The 27904-nt window shown below is 39.8% G+C and overlaps 1 long non-coding RNA gene across 1 annotated transcript in view, besides 1 other annotated feature; it reads right to left on the reverse strand.

Moving 5' to 3' along the window:
* LOC105371069 (uncharacterized) overlaps positions 1-27904 on the reverse strand; it is a 236274-nt gene that overhangs the window by 179927 nt on the left and 28443 nt on the right. The window lies entirely within an intron of this gene.
* Positions 15304-15504: a silencer, noted in NCBI's record as "peak2492 fragment used in MPRA reporter construct". NCBI's record gives its function as "represses an SCP1 promoter by STARR-seq MPRAs in K562 erythroleukemia cells {active_cell/tissue: K562}" and the evidence as "EXISTENCE:reporter gene assay evidence [ECO:0000049][PMID:32103011]".

The following is a 27904-nucleotide window of genomic DNA, read 5'->3' on the forward strand; positions in this document are numbered from 1 at the left end:
CAAGCTCGCATTTGAGCCTTCAGAACCTGCAGTGTGCAATTGTGCTTGTCTGTTCATCTGTGGGCAAAGGTTGTTCAGTATTCTCCATGGATCTCTGATTTTTTAAAACAATTTCCTACTCGTTTCAATATTTGTCACACTGTCTCCTCGGCTTCCTTCTGTCTTCGTTTTTGCTGCTTTCTTTCCTTCTTGGGCTTATGAAGACATCCATCCTGCTCAAGGAGACTGTCAATAAAAATCACCTCGTTTGATGCTGCGGTCAGCCAAAAACAATGCTCTGCCTTACACGAAGTTTTGCCAACTCAAAGACACGTGTTTCTGCCTTTCTTTACCTCTAGGATTTCAGATGTTGGGAAGTATTTTTTTAAATGATAAATGATTAAATCTTTCTATAATGAGAGGATTCTAGGAGAGACATTTGGCGGACAATGCAGACTTTGCTTCAGCAAACACCCCTGTCACACTGAGTGGGTCAGATTCATAGTTCTTGATAAGCCATTTGAGCAGAACTTGAGGATTTGAATGAGCCTTTTGTAGACATTGCATGGCTTGAATATAGGTCAGCAATAGACGTCTAGTCTGATATCTTGTCCGGTGTCTCCTCATTTTTCTGGTTATAAAATCTCTCTCTCTCTTTTCAAAGTTCCTCATTCTGTCCTTTCTGTCTTAACCAATAAGATGGCCATGTAACTGTAGCTAACCGATGAGAGCAAGCTCTCCTCCTAGATACAGTCATGGGTCCAGGAGGCCCACGGGTGGACATGACCCAAGAAGGGCTAATCAGGTATTGATAAGGCTACTAAGAAAGAGATCCCTCTTCCTAAAACACCAAAAGCAATGGCAACAAAAGCCAAAATTGACAAATGGGATCTAATTAAACTAAAAAGCTTCTGCACAGCAAAACAAACTACCATCAGAGTGAACAGGCAACCTACAAAATGGGAGAAAATTTTCGCAACCTACTCATCTGACAAAGGGCTGATATGCAGAATCTACAATGAACTCTAACAAATTTACAAGAAAAAAACAAACAACCCCATCAAAAAGTGGGTGAAGGATATGAACAGACACTTCTCAAAAGAAGACATTTATGCAGCCAAAAAACACATGAAAAAATGCTCACCGTCACTGGCCATCAGAGAAATGCAAATCAAAACCGCAATGAGATACCATCTCACACCAGTTAGAATGGCAATCATTAAAAAGTCAGGAAACAACAGGTGCTGGAGAGGATGTGGAGAAATAGGAACACTTTCACACTGTTGGTGGGACTGTAAACTAGTTCAACCATTGTGGAAGTCAGTGTGGCGATTCCTCAGGGATCTAGAAATAGAAATACCATTTGACCCAGCCATCCATCCCATTACTGGGTATATACCCAAAGGACTATAAATCATGCTGCTATAAAGACACATGCACACGTATGTTTATTGCGGCACTATTCACAATAGCAAAGACTTGGAACCAACCCAAATGTCCAACAATGATAGACTGGATTAAGAAAATGTGGCACATAGACACAATAAAAAATGATAAAGGGGATATCACCACCGATCCCACAGAAATACAAACTACCATCAGAGAATACTACAAACACCTCTACGCAAATAAACTAGAAAATCTAGAAGAAATGGATACATTCCTCGACACATACACTCTCCCAAGACTAAACCAGGAAGAAGTTGAATCTCTGAATAGACCAATAACAGGCTCTGAAATTGTGGCAATAATCAATAGTTTACCAACCAAAAAGAGTCCAGGACCAGATGGATTCACAGCCGAATTCTACCAGAGGTACAAGGAGGAACTGGTACCATTCCTTCTGAAACTATTCCAATCAATAGAAAAAGAGGGAATCCTCCCTAACTCATTTTATGAGGCCAGCATCATTCTGATACCAAAGCCGGGCAGAGACACAACCAAAAAAGAGAATTTTAGACCAATATCCTTGATGAACATTGATGCAAAAATCCTCAATAAAATACTGGCAAACCGAATCCAGCAGCACATCAAAAAGCTTATCCACCATGATCAAGTGGGCTTCATCCCTGGGATGCAAGGCTGGTTCAATATACGCAAATCAATAAATGTAATCCAGCATATAAACAGAGCCAAAGACAAAAACCACATGATTATCTCAATAGATGCAGAAAAAGCCTTTGACAAAATTCAACAACCCTTCATGCTAAAAACTCTCAATAAATTAGGTATTGATGGGACGTATTTCAAAATAATAAGAGCTATCTATGACAAACCCACAGCCAATATCATACTGAATGGGCAAAAACTGGAAGCATTCCCTTTGAAAACTGGCACAAGACAGGGATGCCCTCTCTCACCGCTCCTATTCAACATAGTGTTGGAAGTTCTGGCCAGGGCAATCAGGCAGGAGAAGGAAATAAAGGGTATTCAATTAGGAAAAGAGGAAGTCAAATTGTCCCTGTTTGCAGACGACATGATTGTTTATCTAGAAAACCCCATCGTCTCAGCCCAAAATCTCCTTAAGCTGATAAGCAACTTCAGCAAAGTCTCAGGATACAAAATCAATGTACAAAAATCACAAGCATTCTTATACACCAACAACAGACAAACAGAGAGCCAAATCATGAGTGAACTCCCATTCACAATTGCTTCAAAGAGAATAAAATACCTAGGAATCCAACTTACAAGGGATGTGAAGGACCTCTTCAAGGAGAACTACAAACCACTGCTCAAGGAAATAAAAGAGGACACAAACAAGTGGAAGAACATTCCATGCTCATGGGTAGGAAGAATCAATATCGTGAAAATGGCCATACTGCCCAAGGTAATTTACAGATTCAATGCCATCCCCATCAAGCTACCAATGACTTTCTTCACAGAATTGGAAAAAACTACTTTAAAGTTCATATGGAACCAAAAAAGAGCCCGCATCGCCAAGTCAATCCTAAGCCAAAAGAACAAAGCTGGAGGCATCACACTACCTGACTTCAAACTATACTACAAGGCTACAGTAACCAAAACAGCATGGTACTGGTACCAAAACAGAGATATAGATCAATGGAACAGAACAGAGCCCTCAGAAATAATGCCGCATATCTACAACTATCTGATCTTTGACAAACCTGAGAAAAACAAGCAATGGGGAAAGGATTCCCTATTTAATAAATGGTGCTGGGAAAACTGGCTAGCCATATGTAGAAAGCTGAAACTGGACCCCTTCCTTACACCTTATACAAAAATCAATTCAAGATGGATTAAAGATTTAAACGTTAGACCTAAAACCATAAAAACCCTAGAAGAAAACCTAGGCATTACCATTCAGGACATAGGCGTGGGCAAGGACTTCATGTCCAAAACACCAAAAGCAATGGCAACAAAAGCCAAAATTGACAAATGGGATCTAATTAAACTAAAGAGCTTCTGCACAGCAAAAGAAACTACCATCAGAGTGAACAGGCAACCTACAACATGGGAGAAAATTTTCACAACCTACTCATCTGACAAAGGGCTAATATCCAGAATCTACAATGAACTCAAACAAATTTACAAGAAAAAAACAAACAACCCCATCAAAAAGTGGGCGAAGGACATGAACAGACACTTCTCAAAAGAAGACATTTATGCAGCCAAAAAACACATGAAGAAATGCTCATCATCACTGGCCATCAGAGAAATGCAAATCAAAACCACTATGAGATATCATCTCACACCAGTTAGAATGGCAATCATTAAAAAGTCAGGAAACAACAGGTGCTGGAGAGGATGTGGAGAAATAGGAACACTTTTACACTGTTGGTGGGACTGTAAACTAGTTCAACCATTGTGGAAGTCAGTGTGGCGATTCCTCAGGGATCTAGAAATAGAAATACCATTTGACCCAGCCATCCCATTACTGGGTATATACCCAAAGGACTATAAATCATGCTGCTATAAAGACACATGCACACGTATGTTTATTGCGGCACTATTCACAATAGCAAAGACTTGGAACCAACTCAAATATCCAACAATGATAGACTGGATTAAGAAAACATGGCACATATACACCATGGAATACTATGCAGCCATAAAAAATGATGAGTTCATGTCCTTTGTAGGGACATGGATGAAATTGGAAACCATCATTCTCAGTAAACTATCGCAAGAACAAAAAACCAAACACCGCATGTTCTCACTCATAGGTGGGAATTGAACAATGAGATCACATGGACACAGGAAGGGGAATATCACACTCTGGGGACTGTGGTGGGGTCGGGGGAGGGGGGAGGGATAGCACTGGGAGATATACCTAATGCTAGATGACACGTTAGTGGGTGCAGCGCACCAGCATGGCACATGTATACATATGTAACTAACCTGCACAATGTGCACATGTACCCTAAAACTTAGAGTATAATAAAAAAAAAAAAAAATTAAAAAAAAAAAAAAAAGAAAATGTGGCACATATACACCATGGAATACTACGCAGCCATAAAAAATGATGAGTTCTTGTCCTTTGTAGGGACATGGATGAAATTGGAAATCATCATTCTCAGTAAACTATGGCAAGAACAAAAAACCAAACACCGCATATTCTCACTCATAGGTGGGAATTGAACAATGAGAACACATGGACACAGGAAGGGGAACATCACACTCTGGAGACTGTTGTGGGGTGGGGGGAGAGGGGAGGGATAGCTTTAGGAGATATACCTAATGCTAAATGACGAGTTAATGGGTGCAGCACACCAGCATGGCACATGTATACATATGTAACTAACCTGCACATGTACCCTAAAACTTAAAGTATAATAATAATAAAATATAATAAAGTATAATAATAATAAAACAAAATAAAAAAAAGAAAGAGATCCCTCTTCCTCAAAGACTGCGAGGTCTGTGTAAGTCTGGAACATTACATTCACTTAAAGTGGGTCTGGTTGAGAAATAAACCAACAAAGAAGAAAACAGATCTGAGTGGAGAGAGAGAGATAAAAGAGATAGAACAAGAGAGAGACAGGGCCGGGCGCAATGGCTCACGCCTGTAATCCCAGCACTTTGGGAGGCCAGGCGGGCAGATCACGAGGTCAGGAGATCGAGACCATCTTGGCTAACATGGTGAAACCCGGTCACTACCAAAAATACAAAAAATTAGCCGGGCATTGTGGCGGGCACCTGTAGTCCCAGCTACTCAGAAGGCTGAGGCAGGAGAATGGAGTGAACCCGGGAGGCAGAGGTTGCTGTGAGTCAAGATGGCACCACAGCACTCCAGCCTAGGCGCCAGATTGAGACTCTGTCTCAGAAAAAAAAAAAAAAAGAGAGAGAGAGAGAATAGAGAACTGGTGATATTATTTAAGCCCCTGCAATAAGTGACACCTGAATCCAAAATCCAGTTTCATGCAAGGAATTGTTGGTTCTACGACCTAACAAAATAGCCTCATTCTCACACCATTCCTCTGTTGTTGCTTAATTTCGTCTTAGTTGGTCATCTTTCACCTGCAACTGAGAATCTGAACTGACTTAATATCATCTTTTACAAAATTCTTCATCCCCAGTAGATTTTACAAAATATTTTTGTAAGTGTATGGTCAGTGGGCTCCCCAAAATTTCATGGCAAGGGCAGAGATACGTTCAAGTTGCCTATATTCTCAAGTATCAATGACTGCCAGTGAAGGTTTGGAACCACAGAGGGAAGGTCACCCGTGTAGGGGCTGGGAAAGCTGAGTTCCAACTCCTGCTCCGCACCTGACTTGCCATGTGTTACTGTGGATGTCGCTGCACCTCTGTGAGCCTCTGTTTTACTTCATTTCATCCTTTACTTATAAATAGAGAAGTGGGAGCTAACAGTGGGGAATGTGGTCAGGCAGTACAATACCAAAACTTGGCTCTTCCATGTAGAATTTGAGTGACCTTGGATTGAAGGAAAAGAAAATTCCATCTTTCAGTTTCTTCATGTATAAATTAGAGATGAAAATAGTAATTAAAGTATTTGGCATGGTGTCTAGTATATAGTGAATCTCAATAGATATAGGCTAATTTTATTACCTTACTAGGTCTTTGGGAATCCATAAATAATTAACAGGTGTGACATGCATAAGCCTAGCCATCAATGCAATGTGTGCGTGTGTGTGTGTGTGTGTGTGTGTGTGAGAGAGAGAGAGAGAGAGAGAGCCATATTCAGTGGATTCTGAATGCACAGATTGAATCACATCTCATTAAGGGATCATCTGATTGATAAGATCTTTCTTACTTTTCTTCTTTTTCTCCTGTGCTTCAATAATGTATTAACATATACAATGTGCCAAGCCTTTTGCTAAGAATGAGGTATAAAATAGCAACATCGTACACCTAAACCTTTACCTCTTGGACCTTAATATTTAACATGGTCTTTATGATGATTTTCCCTGCAACCACCACACGTATCTCTCTACGGAGAATTCAGACTGAGCTCTTGTCAAGTGCTTGTCTGTGTCATCAATGTTTTCCCCTCCTTTTCCAGCAATTTCTGGTGAAAAAAAGGAGGTAATAAACCTTGTGGGAGCTAGTGGAGTGCGAAGACTGACGCATGCATTTTTTTTTATCTGAGCTTCGGTCATTGGAATTGCAGAAGCAATTGGTAGCTACTCTGGGATTAGACCTGCATTTTCTTTATCTGGGAAAATGAACATACATGTAACGAAAAAGGCGTCACTCCAATTGTCCCGGATTTCACACTACAAGCCAGATTGGTTGTGCCTGGATCTCTGTGACAAGGGTAAATTATAAACCAAGAGCTGCATTTGTTCCTCATTCCTCTCCCCTTTATGCCTTGCTGCACTCCCAGGTGCCCATGATGGAGATGTGATTGCAGTTGCACAGAAGGAAATATTTTAAGACCTGCCAAAACCCTTGGCTCAGAACTCACTTTTCCAAGCAACCTGTCTGAGCATGGTGACTGCGGTGAATTATTGAGATTCTGGAGGGTTCGCCAAGGGGAATGTGTCACCGGGAGGGTGGGGCTAGAGGCTGCAGCTGGAATCCTGTTGCCTTCCCTGTTTCATACACCAGCTGGATTGTGGATTCAGTATCTCCTCTGGGAGCTGACTCCTGGGTCTAGACAGGAAGGGCAGAATGGCATCAGGCCGGGGGCAGCTGAAAATCCAGGGCATCACATTTATCCTCCATGGTGAGAAGCAAGACATTAATAGATTATTATCCACATACATCTGACTTCATGTCTCAGAAGCAGGGTTGGGTAATTAAAACACATGAAATCCCCGTTTGTATATATCACAAACAGATACACCTTCTTTCCCATATGGAAACAATCCCAATGACTGTCCCTCATTCCAGGCACTTCCCATGTATGTGTGCAGTTAATCCTCACAACAATCCATTCAGGAAGGTGCTATTTTTATCCCTCAGTCATGGGGAAACTGAGGCAGGGAATATAAAGCCTTGCATGAAGTCACATATCTAGAAAAATACAGACGGAATTCAACGCAAAATGAGCAGGTTCCCAAGCCTAGACTCTATAGGCTATTCAATATTTCCTCATGATGATGATGATGACAATGACAATGATGATGATGGGACCCAGGGCGTCACATGTATCCTTGATGGTGAGATGTTTCTATCTATGAGGGAGAAGACCCAAGACCTTCACTAATCCTCAAATTTCTAAATACCACCAGAGCAGCATTCAATATTCCTTGTGAATGCCATAAAGCATGACGGAAGAAAAGCAATGAGTCTCTAAGTATAAAACTAAATTCCCACATGAAATACGTTTCTGTCTCAGAATCACCACTTCCTTAAATCCCTGCTACTTCTTATCATTTCCATTTTCAGGACAAGCAGTGGGGTTTCCTGTAAGGAACATTTATTTCACAAAGTAACAAGTCGTGGTCACTTTCTGATGGTTCTCAGGATGGGATGACAGGCTGTGAACAACAGTGATATGCTATGTAGGGGAGGCTGAGCCTTCTTGCTAAGCCAGGCACTCATTCCTACACCCTGCATTTCAGGAAAAGAGAGATGATGACACAGCATGTTCCTGTGAGGTTGTCTATAAATAGACAAATCACACATTTTGAATCTGTGAGTAAGGATAATAGTAACATTCACTCTAATTATTATTATTATTATTATTTTGAGATGGACTCTTACTCTGTCACCCAGGCTGGAGTGCAGTGGCGGAATCTTGGCTCACTGCAACCTCCACCTCCTGGGTTAAGAGATTCTCCTGCCTCAGCCTCCTGAGTAGCTGGGATTACAGGTGATCACCACCATGCCCGGCTAATTGTTTCTTTTTTTTTTTTTTTGTATTTGTAGTAGAGACGGGGTTTCACTATGTTGGCAAGGCTGGTCTCGAACTCCTGACCTCAAGTGGTCCTCCCACCTCAGCCGAAGTGCTGGGATTACAGGCGTGAGCCACTGTGCCCAGTCAGCTCGTAAGTTCTGGATTTTTATTTTTGAGACAGACTCTCACTCTGTTGCCCAGGCTGGAGTGCAGTGGTGGTGCACTCGCAGCTTACTGCAAACTCTGCCTCCTGGGCTCAAGAGATTCTCCTGCCTCAGCCTCCCGAGTAGTTGGGATTACAAGCACACACCACCATGCCCAGCTAATTTTTGTATTTTTAGTGGAGATGAGGTTTCACCATGTTGCCCAGGCTGGTCTGGAACTCCTAACCTCAAGTGATCCATCTATCTCATCCTCAGGTGTGAGCCACCGCACTCGTCCACATTATCTCTTAATTAGTGGGAAAAAAGTAAATTCAGGTCCCTGCCTGATGTCTGCCTATCAGAGACTGGTTGAATAAAATGCCTACTATTCTTCTTCTTAAACCTTGCCATCACTCTGGGCTTCTTGCTGTTCTTCTTGAAAGTCCCTACCCATTGCGTGAATGAAATCTGGGAAGAAGGGAGGGGGAGAAATGAAAATGAGCCAAATTTGTGGCACATACAACATTCATCATGAGGCCAGCTTGGTCTCTGACCTGCTTCTACATAGCTATTTGGTGCCTATTGTCCTAGAATCATGTAAACCCTAGATCATAGTTCCCCTTCACTCCTCTACAGCTAACAACTTGAACATGATGAAATGTTATGTGTCCCATCTGAAATATTCTTTCAGGTCCTGCATACCAATGAAACTATTAATGTCAGCTGGTCTGAAGGACCCCATGAGAAGCTAACTCATTGAGGAATGCAGTCTCCACATTCAGATGATTTCAACCCCCCTTACCCTACCAATCAATGACCCCAATTTTCCAACCCCTCATCCTTCATGATTCTATTAAAAACCACAGCCCAGGCCAGGCGCGGTGGCTCATACCTGTAATCCCTGCACTTGGGGAGGCCCAGGCGGGCAGTTCACGAAGTCAGGAGATTGAGACCATCCTGGCTAACGTGGTGAAACCCTGCTTCTACTAAAAATACAAATAATTAGCCTGCTGTGATGGCGGGAGCCTGTAGTCCCAGCTACTTAGGAGGCTGAGGCAGGAGAATCGCTTGAATCTGGGAGGCAGAGGTTGCAGTAAGTTGAGATCGCGCCACTGCACTCCAGCCTATAAGACAGAGTGAGACTCTGTCTCAAACAAACAAACAAACAAACAAAAAACCAGCCCAGAACTCCTCAGGGTGATAGACTGAAGGTGCCCTCCCATCTCCTCCCTTGGTGCCCCACCATCATTAAACTCTTTCTCTGCTGCAAAGCCTGCTGTATCAGTGTATTGGTCTGTTACTGTGCAATGGCATACACACCTGCTAGTCCTATAACATTCTTATATCCCAGCCCCTCCTCTGGCCCTTTGTACTTGCTGGTCCCTTTGGCAGAAGCACGTTATCTTCAAATATTCACATAGGTGACTCCTGGTCATTATTCAACCTCCATTCCCATGCCACCTCCTCAGATCAGCCCAGATCAAGGCCTCTCTGGTCAACCCAGGCACCATGTATTATTTTACTTTGTTTTTGCCTTTCATAGCACTTAGTAGTAACTGGATTTGTATTATTTGTGTATATGTTTGTTTGATAATTATCTTCATTTCCTTCTAAACATCTCTTTGCCTATTTTGTTCACTGCTAGAAAAAGATGTCTACAACAGAGGTGGCAGAAAGAAGACACTCAATACATATTTATTTAATAAATAAAGATAAGAATATAAAACATATTTTCTTTCCTATTATTGCCAAAGAGTGGGTCATTATTTGCCCCAGCTTTGACAGAGGACTCTGGGAACATTCTACAAAAAATACCAAGTAATTGGTAAGATTCTTTTTTTTTTTTTTTTACATTAACACCCAAATTAATTCTTCTCATCACCTGAGACAGCAACAGTGGCTGTTTAGTGACCATAGATACCTTTCCCCCATTTTTCTCCTGATGGTTCTGAAATTTCCTGTTCATCAGGAAATATATGCTTTCCTCTCTGCTGATATTCTCTTGAGTTCATCGGCCACAAAACTCTCATAGGAGTTCTGTTGTTTGGATAATTTAAACACTGTGAATGTCTTTGAAATTTTGTTTAAGTGAATTATCTAACATGTACTCCTCAGAATAACTTCTACTTGGTTCCTAGAATATCCAGCTTCATCTCATTCTCTTTTGAACGGCAGCCTGCCAGGGCTTACTAATTGCCCATGGCCAAGTCTCTATGGAGGAAAGTAGAAAGAAATATTTCATGCCTAAATATTATTGTTTGAATGGCGAAGCACACTTCTAGAATTGAAAACTTAACATTTCAAGGAGACATTTAATAGCCTTTGTTTTTGGTTCCATTGCTTAATTAGATGGCAGCAGAGAACTTCTATTTGGGTGATTTGACCCTCTGGGAATGGATGGGGCTATTCATTTCAGGATACCAATGGCATAGATGAAAATATGCAAGGTAGTGAACTAGTCCTTCAGGCATCTGTTTTCCAGTGAGGCTTTTGCAATATTCAATGGACCTTTGCATGTTTCTTCTCTTTCCTTGGAGAAGTTAAACAGTGAGTGTCAACTGAGACCCTCTATCTTAAAAAGGCTAAAATTTCAGTACGCAGAAGATATTCTATTCTATGAATAAAGTAGAGGAAAGAATGGCTTACATTTGCCCTAATACTACAAATTTGCAGTGCAGTCTCTTCTTTCGATTTGCAGTAATGCATGCATATACATTCTTATTGGAAAAATGTGTGAAGGGTATATTTGAAGGGTTCCATCACTTTCCATAAACAATCCTATTCTCCTCTCAGAGGTAAATTCTATAGATAATGTAGTGTGTGCATGTGTGTGTGTGTGCATGTGAGGGTGTGTGATATGTAAAATAAGACTAAATTACACAGTAAATTTTATTGAAATATGGTCACGTTCTGTCACTCAGGCTAGAGTACAGTGACACAAACATGGCTCACGGCAGCCTCAGCCTCCCAGGCTCAAGGGATCCTCCTACCTCAGCCTCCCAGAGTAATTTTTGAAGTAAACAAAATATAAGAATAATAATAATAATAGACAGTGTTTATGAAAATTTTTCTCAGTGACAGGCACTGTGCAAAATGCTTTATCTATAGTATATTTTATCATTTAATTCTTACAATTACGCTATGCAGAAAGTATCATTTTTTAATTTTTAATTTTCAAAAATTTTTTGTGGGTATGTAGATGTGTATGTTTGTGGGGTACATGAGATGTTTTGATACAAGCATGCAATGTGAAATAAGCACATTATGGAGAATGGAGTATTTATCCTTTGAGTTACAAACAATCCAATTACTTTCTTTATTTTAACATATACAATTAAGTTATTATTGACTATGGTCACCCTACTGTGCTACCAAAGAGCAGGTCTTATTTGCTCTTTCTATTTTTTTTTTTTTTTTGATACCCATTAACCATCCCCACCTTCCTCCCAACCATCCATTACCCTTCCCAGCCTCTGGTAACCATACTTCTACTATGTCCATGAGTTCAATTCATTTGATTTTTAGATCCCACAAATAAGCAAGAACATGCGATGTTTGTCTTTCTGTGCCTGGCTTATTTCACTTAACATAATGATCTCCAGTTGCAGCCACATTGTTGCAAATGACAGGTTCTCATTCCTTTTCAGGGCTGAATAATATTCCATTATGTATATGTACCACATTCTCTTTATCCATTCATCTGTTGATGGACACTTAGGTCACTTCCAAATCTTGGCTATTGTAAACAGTGCTGCAACAAACGTAGGAGTGCAGATATCTCTTCAATACACCGATTTTCTTTCTTTTGAGTACATACCCAGCAGTGGGAATGTTGGATCATATGGCAGCTCGATTTTTAGTTTTTTTTTGAGGGCCCTCCAAACTGTTCTTCATAGCAGTCGTACTAATTTACATTCCCACCAATAGTGCAAAAGGGTCCCCTTTTAAAAGTACTGTTTTTAGATATAAAGATACTGAGGGAGCAAGGGAGCAAGTAGCTTCCCCAAGGCCACACTGTTGACAAGTAAAAATCTAGGAATGGACCCAGGGAGTCTTGCTATAGCCAGAACTCTTAATCAAAATTTTATAGTTAGTAGAGACCATAAGGCACGTAAAAAATTTGCATCATGGTTTCATGTCCTTTAACTTCATAACCAAGTGGTTCTCTTTGACGTTATCATAAACATTATATTTAAAAACTATTTCCTGAAACTCCTGACCTCAAATGATCCACCCACCTTGGCCTCCCAAAGTGTTGGGATCACAGGCGTGAGCCACCGCACCCGGCCAATGTGGTGAAACCCCACCTCTACTAAAAATACAACAATTAGCTGGGCATGGTGGTGGGCCCCTGTAGTCCCAGCTACTCAAGAGGCTGAGGTAGAAGAATCACTTGAACCCGGGAGGTTGAGGTTGCAGTGAGCCAAGATCACGCCACTGCACCTCAGCCTGAGTGCAGAGCAAGACTCTGTCTAAAAAAAAACAAAAAACAAAAACAAACAAACAAAAACTGTATCCTTTGAATGTGTCACAGTTTCGTGAATCAGCCTCTTATGTTGAATGTTATAATAATGAAAGAGCTTCTGTGGAGACCTGGACCATCAAAAGTTTTATGTGCATTTTTCCCATAGCTCTTATAAATTTCTGAAAGGAGTTCATGACACTCCTCATCTAAAATATATAGAAGATGGCCACACCTGTAATCCCAGCACTCTGGGAGTCCACACCTGTAATCCCAGCACTCTGGGAGGTTGAGGCTGGTGGATCACTTGAGGTCAGGAGTTTGAGACCAGCCTGGCCAACATCTTGAAACCCCGTCTCTACTAAAAATAGCAAAAATTAGCCGTGGGTGGTGGCATGCCTGTAGTCCCAGCTACTTCGGAGGCTGAGACACGAGAATCGCTTGAACCCAGGAGGTGGAGGTTGCAGTGAGCCGAGATCACGCCACTGCACTGCAGCCTGAGCAACAGAGCAAGACTCTGTCTCAAAAAATAAAAGTAAATAAAAACGAAAATAAAATAAAAGAAAGTGTTAAAAAAAAAGTAAAAGTAAAAATATATAGAGAGAAGTTGATGTCTGAATTTCTTTATACATTAAGGTTAATTTTTATTTACATCTTCAACAATTATTTCCTGACAGTGATCAAAACATTGGGCAGACCAATTTATCAGACATGGTCTTCACCTTTAAGGGTTACCAAGGGTATATTTGCACATAGTTATGATGACCCTTTGCAATTCTGAGATGTTATGAGCTGGGCACTACTCTAGCTAGAACAAACTGTGATTATCTGTTCCTTTGTAACTTACCCAGAGTCATAGCCACACAGATCAACATATCACTGTTTTAAAATTAGTCCTGATGTATTAATTCTTCTCTTTCTATTTGTATCAGGAATATCTTCAAAGGAAGGACAATGCTGTCCACATTTCTGGCATCTCTACCCAGCATTGCTCCCACAGATGGGCATAGAACAATTGTTCAGTGGATGCTCATTGAACATTCTTCAATAAGCCCAGAACAGAGAAGAGAATCTGGAAGACACGGATTCAAATCCCTGCAACTCTACTTACTGGCTGTATGACCTTAAGTAAGTCATTTTACCTCTTGTGTCTTCATTTTTCTCATCTGGAAAGTAGGAAAGCTAGTCCCTAGCCTGATGATTGTTTGATAGAGATTGTGTATGTTAAATTTCGAACACATAGGAAGCTCTTTGTAAATATTTGTGCTTTTGTTTTTTCTGAGTTCTCTTCCATTGGCTGGGCTAAGTCAGAAGAATGAGGAGGTGTTTCTCTGCCTGCAACTCTCAAATGACCCTTTTCCTGCACTGAGCTCCAGTCAGGGAGTGGATTTCCCTTCAAATCTTCCCATCTCTGCCATCTGCACAGCCAACTGTTCTCTGACTGTGAGATTCCTGCTAGCAACCCTGCTAAGCAGGTGTGGCTGATGCCTGCCTCCTCTCTGCTTTGCTTGCGGAATCTGATTGTGTTTGACAGGCTGCTCATAATGGAGAAAAAAACGATGAGTTGGATTAAATGTTCTTTGTTTAGACTTTATTAGCCAAAGATGTTTCTGCATAGTTAATTAGAGAATAAACTGCAATCTCACATTAAGGCAGGGACTCAGCCCCCTGAAACTCAGCCTTGCTTATGTGCAGGATGATTGGGACTGGGAATAAGGGTGAGTTCCTAATTTACTAGTGGTCTTTGAAGAAGAAATTGGCATAGATGAGGAGAGAAGAGAACAATTATCCTAAACAGCTTGGGCTGCTATATCAAAATAAATATTGTAGGCTGAATGACTTAAACAGCAGACATTTGTTATTCATGGTTCTGGAGGCTGGGAAATCCAAGATAAAAGTGCCAGCTGATTTGGTTCCTGGTGAGGGCTCTTTTCCTGACTTCCCAAAGGCTGCCTTCTTGCTGTGTCCTCACATGGCAGAAAGAGAGAGAGAGAGACAAAGAAAGGGACAGAGGGAGAGGGAGAGAGAAAGAGAGAGAGAGCCATAGTGTCTCTTCCTCTTCTCATGACACTAATCTCATTATAGGAGCTATACCTTTATAACCTCTCCTAAATCTAATTGCTTTCCCAAGGTGTCACCTCTAAATACCATTGTATTGGGGTCGTATTAGTCCATTCTCAGGCTTCTATAAGGATATACGTGAGACTGGGTAATTTATAAAGGAAAAAGGTTTAATTGACTCACAGTTCCACAGGGCTTGGGAAGCCTCTGGAAACTTACAGTCATAGCAGAAGGAGAAGTAAACACTTTTTCTTTACATGGTGGCAACAAGGAGAATTGCAGAGCAAAGGGGAAGAAAATCCCCTGTAAAACTATCAGATCTTATGAGAACTCACTCACTATCACGAGAACAGCGTGGAGGTAACTGCCCCCATGATTCAATTATCTCCCACTGGGTCCCTCCCATGACACGTGGGGATTATGGAAACTACAGTTCAAGATTAGATTTGGGTGGGGATACAGTCAAACCACATCAGGGAGTTAAAGCTTCAACATATGAATTGTGATGGCACGCAAACATTCAATCCATAACAACCATAAAGATGTGTCTTCCACACAGACCTTCAACATTTACAAGCTAGGTCACCTGTCGAGTTGCTTCTTCAGTTATAAAATGGGACAACTGTAAGGTTCTGATGAGGATGCCTGATGGTAAGCACTTGACAAGTGTTAGATGATATAAAATAATACTAACAATAATAAATTATTTCATTATAAGAATTATTATTTTTAAAGTTTACAACTCACAGAGAAGAACTCAACCATTCTCGAGTGGCTCATATTGGATGTCTGAGGTAGCCCTCTAATATCTTAAAAGAATAGAATCCCAGAAACTTCTGGGAACTTATAGTCTGATCATCCTACGTCACCTCAGTTAGCCCAGAAAGAAGAAACATCTTGTCCAGAGAGAAATAGCAATTCAGTGGCAGCAGAGAAAGGTTTCAGTGAACTGGTCTATGCTTTTTTCATGACAATGTAGATAAGCGTCTTGAAAGAGCACAAATACACCTTCCCCCTTTTAATATCATCCTATAAAAAATGCAAGTACAAGCAAAGACATTTAAGGGGTTTTAGATTCACCCCTGTCCCATGTCATTAATCTGAATTAGTGATAAAAAGCTTAAAAGAACTTTCTCAAAAAGTTAAAAAGAAAAAAAAGTCATAACTCCCACCCTATTTCAACATGTTTCCCAACTCGCTTTCCTATTGACTGAAATTCCTGTTTCTGACAGCTTTCCTTCTTTGTTGGCAAATAGTAGACATGCAGCGACCATGTGTTGAATAAATAAGTAAATCCCAGATTCTCCTTGGGCTGATGCCATCCATTGTGTCCAGCTATAATCCCCCTTGGGTCCACAATTATATTAACATAGCTATATTTGCTTTCTTTTGGATACTGTTTGCATGGTATATCTTTTCCATGCCTTTATTTTCAACATCAATTTATCCTCACATCTAAGAAACATTTTTGTAAGCAGGAAACGTCTCCCCATCTGTATCTTTCTATCTGTTCAACTGTGAGAATCTTTGTCTTTAAATTACATTAATTCATCTATTTACATTTAACCTAATTTGTGATATATTTAGGTTTAACACCACCTTACTAATTTTTCTATTTGTCCTATTTATTCTATGTCCCTTCTTCTCATTTCTCTTGACTTCTGTTGGAGTATTTTTGTTATTCATCTCACCTTCTGTTGACATAATAATTATGCATACTTTTACTACTCTTTTTTTTTTTTTTGAGACAGGGTCTTGCTTTTTTTTTTTTTTTTTTTTTTTTTTTTTGAGATGGAGTCTTGCTCTGTTGCCCAGGCTGGAGTGCAGTGGCATAATCTTGGCTCACTGCAACCTCCGCCCCGCAGGTTCAAGCGATTCTCCTGCCTCAACCTCCTGAGTAGCTGGGATTACAGGTGCCTGCCACCACGCCTGGGTAATTTTTGTATTTTTAGTAGAGACAGGGTTTCGCCATGTTGCCCAATGTGGTCTGAACTCCTGACCTCATGTGATCCACCTGCCTCAGCCTCCCAAAGTGCTGGGATTATAGGCCTAAGACACCACACCTGGCCATTTACTGCTCTTTTAATAGTTGCTCGAGAGATTATAGCATGCATCCTTGACTATGGTCAAATATAAGTTACTGCTTTATTTCCTTTCCTGATGTTAGAACCTTAGTATACTTTATCTCCATTTACTGTCTCTCCTGCCTTTTTTTATATTGTCATATATTTTCAGTCTATATATATTTTAAATCACATAAGACAATATTATTTTTCCATACAGTGAATAGATACATATTTTACATACATACATGTTTAAATATATTCAAATTTTTAAAATCCTTCTTTATTACTTTATGTATATATACGTGTGTGTGTATATATATATATATATATATATGTACAGTAATATATAGTATATGTAGAATTCAAGGTAGAAATTTACTTTTTCCCTGTGTTTCATTTGGGTTTGCATTTTGTCCCTAAGAATCAGCTATCATATTTATTACTGTTTCTCGGAATATGATGTGGATTTTTTTTCTGTGTTTTTACAATTTTCTGTCTTTTTCAACAGTATGACTATAATATAACATACAGTGGTTGTATTTGTATTTATCTTACTTTAGTTTGTAGTGCTTCCTGAATCTGTGGGTTTATGCCTTTCATCAATTTGGGGAACTTCTCAGTAATTATTTCTTCAAATATTTCTTGTTTTGTCCAATTCTGATACCTCAGATACATACCTGTTGTTAGAGCAAACACCATGCCCCATTTGCCACTTTTCTTGGCTTTTTTATTTATTTTTTTTTGTAATAAATACCTTTTCCCTTGGAACTTTTGTCTGAATGCCTTCTACTAACACCCTCTATTTCATTAATACTCTCTTCATATATGCTCAATTTGTGATTTAATTATAATGTTTTTTACAATACTAGATTTTGACTGCAGTTAATTTTTCCATATTCCCATTAAATTTCTAAATTCTCTATCTCATCTCATTTTCTGAACATGTTAATCAGGGTTGTTTTCCAGTCCATATCTGACAACTATCCAATATCTGAATCACTCTGGTTTGTTTCTGTTGTCCATTTTTTCCTATCAGCTTCATCTCTTGGTATGCCTGATCATTTCTGGATGAATACCATTGTATTCAAAACATAAATTTTTGAAAAGCATAAAGGATTTGCGTTTTCTTTCTCTTGGAGGTATTTATTTAGCATCTAGCAGAAAGTTTAATTATGAATGGATCACCTTCAAGCAACTAAGAATCAAGATTATCCGAAGTATGTTGTAATATTTTAAGAACATTTCTATTTTTATTTCAGCTCTCCCCCTAGGATGTGGTCCTTCAGTTGTCCTAACTAAATGCCTGCCATGCATGTAGAGCTCTGCACTCTGATGAATCCTAAACTTAATCCTCACCTCCTCTTTACCGTTGGCTAGATTCATAGCCTCCCAGCAGCAAGTTTCTGCACAGTGATTCTGCCTCTCATCCTGTTCTCCTGTCATAAATTAGCCAATAATGAAAGAGAAAAATTAACATAGATTATCAGGCTTTGTTATTGAACTTCTCCTCTTTCTGAAATCTTGGCCACATGGGTCTCAGAATGTCTGGATAATTCCGAACTCCATATATGTTTTTCTCTTTGGCCTCCACAATGCTTTAAGAATGAAAAGCATTCAACTCAATTTCTCTGGCTCTTAGGAGATGCTTTTTGCTCAGATTCTCTAGTTTGCTGGGATAACGCAGTACGTTTTCCTTCTCTCCAGAACCTCCCCCCACTCCAACATATAGCTGATTTGATAACTCTCAAATGTTTTTTATTATAATAAGGTGTTTTTTGATGTTCCTGGTGAAAGTGTCGATCTAATACAAATGTGCTTTTCAGAATTGGATATTTGGTTCCACACTTCAAGCTGTGGAATTTGTTAGAATCTAATTTCTAGAGAAGCCACAGTTGTCTGTGTCTTCAAACTGAGCCTCAGAAACCTGAAGGTAATTTTCTTCTAGGTCTTGTGGTTTCACTTGGGTACCCCTCAAATGAACCCCCATTTTGCTGCAGGGATGGAAACCCGGAGGAAGCCTGTGATTTTCAAGAACACCGTCTGGTCCTTTGGCAGCGTCACACCTACATTCCCTCTTCATAAAGAACGCCTAGTTCCATATGTTCCCCCAGACAGGAAGCTCTGTCCAGGGCCTCTTTCCAAAAGCAAGTATAATTTCCCACACTGAGAGTTTGGGATTTTTTTTTTAATTGTTGTTTCCTCAAGCTTTCACGTAAGTCATTTAAGGTAAGCTCTCTGAGCAGCTTTGAAGTCTGTGTCTTTTGAATGCAAAGCTTGAAACAACACTGGATGCTGGGAGTCAAGAGTGGATTCCTCTCTCAAGGCCTCGGTTTCCCCATCTTTCCAATGTGGGCCCTTGTCTAAACCCTTTCACCCCTAAGACAACATTTGAAAATTCCATTCCCTCCTTTCGACAGTCAACCTGTCTGAGTTCTCATGCCTAGATTCTGCCCTCCCCACACCCTCTGCTTCTGCCACATCATTTCTCACTCTAGGTAACTGCAAACTGGTTTCTCCTTCATTCCATCTTTCCACATGCTATGGTTTGAATATGTCCCCTCCAAAATTCAGGTGTTGAAGCTTAATGGCCAATGTAATAGGATTAAGAGATGGGACCTTGAAGAGGTGATCAGGCCATGAGGGCTCCTCCTTTATGGAGAGATTGGGGCCCTTGTAAAAAAGTCTTTATGCAGGGTTCAATTTTCTTGCCCTTCCACCATCAGCCATGTGAGGATCTAGCATTTCTTCTCTCAAGAGGATGCAGCAACAACACGCCATCTTGGAAGAAGAGAGCAGCCCTCCACAGACACCAAACCTGCCGGCTCCTTGCTCTTGGACTTCCCAGCCTCCAGAGTTGTGAGCAAATGGATTTCCGTTCTTTATAAATTACCATGTTTATTATTTTGTATTTAGTATTTTGTTATGGCAACACACATGGATTTAGATACCACCTCAAACCCATTCCTTAAAATTGAAGCAACTTCTATGTAACATTCCTAAAATACACACTTAAGTCATGTTCGTCTCTCTATCTAAAATGTTTCAGTATTATATGCAGTGCTATTTTACTTTATTGGTGTGAATATAAGCTCACTGCAGTTTCCCTAAAAGACAATTTTGCAATGCAGACTATTAAAAATGCACATATTCTTTATCCTGAGATTCCAATTTTCCTGACTTACCTTCAGAGATAGTACTCAACTATATTTGTTACAACATTGCTTACCACAAACCCTGGTAAAAAAAAAAAAAACTAAACTAAATGATTGTTACTTAATGCTGTTTAAATAAATTATGCTTACTCTAGCAGAATGCCATGCGGCTTAGCGAAAACAAAAACAAAAAACGAAGAGATGAATGCTTAAATGCTCTTATGGTTCAATTGCCAAGATATTCTTCTAGCAAAAAATCAAATTAAAAAGCAAATTCTAGGCTGGGTACAGTGGCTCATGCCTGTAATCCCAACAATTTGGGAGACCAAGGCAGGTGGATCTCTTGAGGTCAGGAATTCGAGACCAACCTGGCCAAAATGGTGAAACCCCATCTCCACTAAAACTACAAAAATTAGCCAGGCATGGTGGAACATGGCTTTAATCTCAGCTACTCAGGAGGCTGAGGCAGGAGAATAACTTGAACCCAGGAGGCAGTGGTTTCAGTGAGCCAAGATCGTATCACTGCACTCCATCCTGGGCGATAGAGCGAGACTTTATCTCAAAAAAAAAAAAAAAAAAAGAAAAAAAGAAAAGAAAAAGAAAAAAGGAAAAAGCAAGTTCCAGAAGAATGTGCGTAGGATAATCCAATCATTTATGTGTCCAAAAAATGTGACAGGAAAGTATGTTATACACTTTTTCATGCATGTTTTATGTCTGAAAAGAAAAGAAAAGAAAAAGAAAAAAGGAAAAAGCAAGTTCTAGAAGAATGTGCATAGGATAATCTAATCATTTATATGTCTAAAAAATGTGACAGGAAACTATGTTATACACTTTTTCATGCATGTTTTATCTGTTTTCCTTTTCACACCAAAATGTGATCTCCATGAGTTCAAGGACATTGTCTTCATCCTCTTATTCCCCACTCTATCTTCAGTATGTAGGCATAATAAGTGTTCAATAAATAGTTGCTTAATGTATCAGAGAATAGAACCTGGATGATAAAAGCTCTGGGGTGGGTGAGAAACTTGCTTTTTACTGATTTCCCTACAAATTCTAGAGTAGGGAAGTTCCATTCAGGCTCAATCCCCTTCCCACCATGCTACCTGACCTCCTGCCACCCTGACCTACTTGCACTGTACTGAAAACACAGGGGTGCACCACAGCAGGAAACATCCACTCACTCTGTCTCCTCTACCTCTGTTCACCTTCCCAGCCCTCCCACTAACCTCCCACTCAACTCCCACTCACCTAGCTTTAATATCTGACTCCATTATTTTAGTTGCAAGCGTACTTGCTCCTTTCTCTAGATTTCTTTAGCCTCTCAAAGCATCTACTGCTTAACCATGACTCAAGATTACAATTTTTTACCTGGACAGAGACCAACTATTACTCATCTTCACATAAGGAGACCAGAAGAGTGCCCAGAAAACAGTGGATGCCAATCAATGTTTAAGAATTAAAAAGATTCATTTTACTAAATAAGTGTATATTTAGTATACATGTTCATTAACTGCTGATTGAATAAGTAAAATGCAGTATATATACATTCAAAGAAATGTTATGTAGTGATAAAAAGAAATTAAGTGCTGGCCAAGCATGGTGGCTCATGCCTGGTATCCCAGCAGTTTGGGAGGCCAAGTCGGTGGATCGCTTGAGGTCAGGAGTTCGAGGTCAGCCTGGCCAACATGGAGAAACTTTGTCTCCAGTAAAAATACAAAAGCTAGCCTGGTGGGGTGGCACTCACTGTAATCCCAACTACTGAGGGGACTGAGGCATAAGAATTGCTTGAACCCAGGAGGCAGAGGTTGCAGAAAGTCGAGATCCTGCCACCGAATTCCAGAGTCCATCTCAAAAAAATAAAATAAAATAAATAAAGAAAAGAAATTAAGTACTGATACATGCTGCAAAGCTGATGAATCTTGAAACCATTAAGTTTAAAAAGCCAGTCAAGAAGGACCACATATTATATAATTGTATTCATATGAAATGTCCAGAATAGGGAAATTAGTAGACAGAAAATAGATCATTGAGTTCCTAGGGCTGAAAGGATGAGGGGATTAGAGGGTAAGGAGTGCCTACTTTCTTCTCAGGAAATGGAAACATTCAAATTGATATAGTGATGAATACACAACTCTGTAAATATACTAAATGCCATTGAATTGTACATTTTAGATGAGTGAATTTGTCTGGCATGTAAATTATATCTTAATGAAATTGTTTAACATTTGAAAATAGTGAGAATAAATGAGTGAAGGAGTGAATCATGAATAATATAGGCTAATGGGACATCCCTTAAGGTAGAAGTACAGTATTATTTGAATTTGTGTCCCCATCCAAATCTCATGTTAAATGGTAATCCCCAATGTTGGAGGAGGGTCATGTTGAGAGGTGATTGGATCATGGGGGGTAGACTTTCCCTTTGCCGTTCTTGTGATATTGTGTGACTTCTCACAATATCTGGTTGTTTAAAAGTATATAGCACCTCCCCGTTCTCTCTTCCTCCTGCTCCAGCCATGTAAGATGTGCCTGCTTTCCTTTTGCCTTCCGCCATGATTGTAAGTTTCCTGAGGCCTCCCTAGTCATGGTTCCTGTACAGCCAGTCGAACCATGAGCCAATTAAACCTCTTTCTTTTTTTTTTAAATAAACTACCCATTCTCGGGTAGTTCTTTATAGTAATGTAAGAATGGACTAATACAAGGTAAAAATTCTCCCTCACTTAACTTCCTATACCTCCCAAAACAATGCCTCCAAAATTATTGACTTATTTATAAAACGTATATCAACAAGTCTGCTGTATGCTTTCACCGTGCTAGGCACTGGGGATAGAAAAGTGAATAAAACAGGAGTATTCTTCTTTATCCTATAGCTAATTGCTCAAGGTGACAGTCTAATGTTTAACAAAACATTACACAAAGAGGTTTATTATTATTATTTCAATAGTATTAAACATTACAATAAAATCGGAAGCACCAAGAGAGTGTAAGGATATTGCTTGTCTCATCCAGACAAGGCCCCCAAGGTCTGGTAATTTTCATGCCTAATACCACCCATGGGTCTGGGCATTTTCTAGGAATATTGCCTGGCCTCACCTTCTCACACACCAACTGAGCTTTTAGTAGAAGAATGAAGAGATGGGCAGTGTATGCTTGGAGTCCCCTGTCCTGTTGCTGCAGAGATGGATAGCTCTACCTGGGGTTCTGGGGAACACCTGGGGATTTGGTCTGGATACTGCTCTTGGATCCAAATCTCCACTCCTGCCTTCCCATGCTCAGCGACGTGATAGATAGCTTTAATTACACCAGCTTTAGAACTCTTCCCGGCCTTCTCTGATGCATTTCATTTCCTTCTGCTATGGGCCCCTGATGCCTGGTGATATAACTCAGCGAAAGACATTACTGGGAGGGATTTTGAAATCTAAACCTCCAACTCCACTGATGTTGCAGGTATTGACTGAACTGGGCTCCCTGGGCCTCCTTTCTTAGAGCTGTGATTCACAGTTTCAGGAGCTCATGAAAATCTGGGCAAGCCAGTCTTGGACCGAAACTCCTGTATCCCCATCATCTGCAGGACAGAGTCCAAATTCCTGCTGTGGTCTAAAGGGTCCTCTAAATCAGGCCTCATTTGCACACTGGCCCCTACCACAGCCCTCGCTATTCCACCCACTGTCCTCATCTTTACCAGCACTTTACCAGCAGCATTTATTAAGTCCCCACTGTGTTATACACATTACACTGAACCCTGTGCTTGGATCATGTCATCTCATCCCCCTAGTAAACCTTTGAGACCAAAAATGTTCTTATCTTCATTCTACAGATAAAAAATATATGTATATATATCTATATCTATATAGATAGAGAGATATAGATATAGATATATAGATATATAGATATATATACACACATATATATGGAAGGGGAATAACTTTCCCAAGTCTTATAGCTAGTAAGTGGTAATACCTGGATTTCAACCCAGGCCTTCCAACTGTGATTTTAATCACCTCCCTATTTTGTGTGAGCAATAACCAAATTATTTGCAATTCCCCCAATGTGCAGTTTTCTCATGCCTCTGGGCAGGAATGGATCTGGTTTTTGTAGTGTTGAAAGCGTATATAGTTTTGGAGGCCCTCTATGAGAAAAAAAGAAGGCGAAAGTAAAGCACTAATGAAAATTTAGATAATAAAGGGACACTTATTTCAAATACCAAAAAGATGGCATGTTGCAAGTGTTAAAAAGCTGGAAAAATTCACAGAAATCTGCAAAAAGGAAATATTTCTGCAATTTTCTGTTTGGCACAGATAATATGATTTTCCTACATATTTTTGTGTTTGTATTTATCGATTGCTTCTTCATATGCCAAAAATTGTGTAATATCGTCTTCTACAAGGAGAATAGAAGGATCATTTAGAATTTCCTCAAGGGCAGGGGTTGGTAAACTGCAATGTGAGGCAAACTGCTGTTTTTGTAAATAAAGTTTTATTAGAATACAGTGTTGTCCATTTATTTACCTATTGTCTGTGGCTGCTTTTTTGCTACAATGAGACAAATTTGAGTTCTTGCAGTAGGGAATGTATGCCCTTAAAGCCTAAAATACTTACTATCTGGTCTTTTACGTAAAAAGTTTGCCAACCCTACTCTAGGGTGATGGCCTCTGAAGGAAAGTCTTTAAAAGTAAGGTGCTCCAAAACTTAGCTCCATTCACTTCCCATTATACACTTTGCTGTCTCTAGAAATGTCCTCCCACTCTGGATTTCTCCTTTAAGATTTAACACAGGTGTGTCCTCCCCGAGAAAGCACTCCCTGGGCCCTCCTCGTCCTTTTATAACTAGGGCCACCCCTCTGTCCTCCCACAATCCCATGCGAAGCCCCCTTCGTTTATTACGGGAAGAAAGAAAAACATGTCTTGAAACTTCCCTCCAATTAGGCCACATAGATTATATTAATATACCCTCCTTTGAGGAGGATGCAAGGATGTTGGTGTGGTTTGACCAGGGATAAACACTCGAAAGCTAAAATGTTGTTACAACATTGCTTACCACAAACCCTGGTAAAAAAAAAAACTAAACTAAATGATTGTTACTTAATGCTGTTTAAATAAATTATGCTTACTCTAGCAGAATGCCATGCGGCTTAGCGAAAACAAAAACAAAAAACGAAGAGATGAATGCTTAAATGCTCCAAGGCCCTGTTTGAGTGACCAACTTCACGGTCATCCTAAATGAGGCAGTTTATGTGTCTTATGCTCTAACTAGGAAACCTTAAACAATCAGTAGCTTTGTCAAAGGTAAACTCTCTACCCCATGAAAGAAATTCTAATATCAGAACTGGATTCAGGTTCAGCCTCTTGTGCCCCTGCACAAGAAATTGGGAGCTCCAGCTGTTCTTCTCCGGAAGGTACTCCTATCAACTCCAAATAGTGGGGGACCAAGAAGGAAATCTGGAATACTTTGCTATTTCATAAACTTTTCTCCTTCCTAAAGTGCCATCGAATTACTTGATTTATACCAAATAACACTACCACCTGGGGATGCAAATGCTAACCCCAAACAGATGCAATGGTTATAGGGCCATGAAATGTCACTGAAGGCATCGTCATTTGGATTTTGATTATAGCACTTAGGATTAGATTAAACAGTTTTGAAAAGACTGCAGACACATCTCTAATGTCCTCTGCCCGGCTATGGCTGCTTTCTTTGCATACCCCAGAAAACAGGGTGATTTTTTTTCACTCCCAAGTAACCCTTCTTTAACTTCAGGATGTGCTTCTCCAAGCTAAAGTGGAAAGCAATTCGAGAAAAAAATAAATGTGGGCATCTTGTAGCCTTCACTTCAAGTCCTCATCTGTAGGAAAGCGGGGATACATGCCCTCACTCTGGCAAAATCCTGCTCCTTGCCTTGCAGGGAGGCAGGATGAGCACTTGGCTTGGAGTCCAATATTTGAACTCAGCTTCCAGTCTGCTTCACATGAGCATTGTGACCTTGGGAAAGCCACTTGCCTTACTGAGCTCCCAATTCCGTGGCATCTAGATGTTATGGTTTGGATATTTGTCCCCTCCAAATCTCATGTTAATAGGAGATCCCCAATGTCGGAGGTAAGCCTAGTGGGAGGTGCTTGGGTCCTGGCAGTGGATCCCTCATTAAAGGCTTGGTGCCCTCCTCATGGTAATAAGTGAGTTCTCTGTTAGCTCATGCAAGAGCTGGTTGTTTAAAGGAGTCTGACACGTCCTGCTCTCTTGCTCCCTCTCAGCGTGACACGCCTGCTCCCACTTCACCTTGGAACATGAGTAAAAGCTTCCTGAGGCCTCACCAGACTCTGAGCAGATTGGAGCCATGCTTGTACAGCCTGCAGAACTGTGAGCCAAATAAATCTATTTTCTTTATAAATTACCCAGTGTCCAGTACTCCTTGATAGCAATGCCAAATGGACTAATAGACTATAATAGAATTAATAGAACAGAAGATCATTCTTTATGGAAAGAACCTCAGACAAAATCATGTTTCAGATAAAGATATGTACAACGGGAAACACACATGAATTTCTCACTGACACAGAGCCAGTGCAGGTTTATAGAGCTTTGCCACAAAAAAAGGTATGCGCACAAGCTGTCGAATGTATCTAGTTACAAAAATTGAACTTGTTATAAGTGCATCTTAGCTTTTATACTTCCAATTGACCTTTATTAACTTTGAAAGATGTACAACATTATAATAGATACTATGATTATCCATATGCACTAAATATTTGATAGGAATAATAATTTTATTTTTTTCAAGTGGGCTGGATGCAAATGCAAAATTTCTAGAGGGTAATAGCTTCTCAGTCCCTTTATGCAATAATTATTGACTTCTTGTGTATAAGCAGGCCTGAAAGTAATGTCTCTTTTAATTAGTTTCCTGATGACTTTCTTTTTCTTTTTAAATTAAACAATGCCACAAACTTTTGAAGCTAAAGACACTTTAATGGATATGATCTGTCTGCCTTTCTTTTTCTGACTGTATTCATTATAGGCAAATCAATGAAAATTGATAAAGTCATGATGGAAAAAAGGAATGTATTTGTATTCATTACAGAGGATTGGAGATAATAATAAAATGAAATGTTGTTATAGTGAGATATAAACCCAACCTACGGAATTGTTCAATATGAGAATAGCTAGATACATTTCATTACCATGATAGGGAGCAGCTCAGAAGCGGAAGCCAATAATTTTAAAAGTCTTCAACACAGGGTTATGCTGCCTATACAGTTCAATACGTTAATTGACAATAAATCCTGCTTGCCTCTAAAAGGCACTTGACTGGTCATTTTCAAGATGGTCATGATTTTTTATGATGTGGAACTTTTAATTTACAGGGATGATAAAAATAGATTTACTTTCAGCCACTTGTATTTGATTTAATTACCTAATCAACGATAAATCATCTACTATTGAAAAAGTAATTTAACATAGATGATATTTGGCTGTCATATTTTTGGGTTACTGCTAGGGAGAGTTTGGTGAGTGGAGAGGAAAGAACCTGTGGCAGGGTGAATTTTCCACACTTTTCTCAAAAATCTGAAAAAAGTCTGCAGAGTTGAAATCAGGTGACTTGGCTTCACCTTGGAAAGCAGTCCATTGTCATTTTTCCTACTTATTTTTTAAACAGATAGACCATGAAAGGGTGCGATCGTGTCATCATCATGAGAAAAATAGGGATTTGATTATTCTTTAGCATTTTTCTAGCTCTGCTATGCTGTTGTATCGACCCTAGCGACAAGTTTGATGTGAATCTAAAATAGT

Source organism: Homo sapiens, chromosome 16 (genome assembly GCF_000001405.40).
Source record: "Homo sapiens chromosome 16, GRCh38.p14 Primary Assembly".
Taxonomy (NCBI): domain Eukaryota; kingdom Metazoa; phylum Chordata; class Mammalia; order Primates; family Hominidae; genus Homo; species Homo sapiens.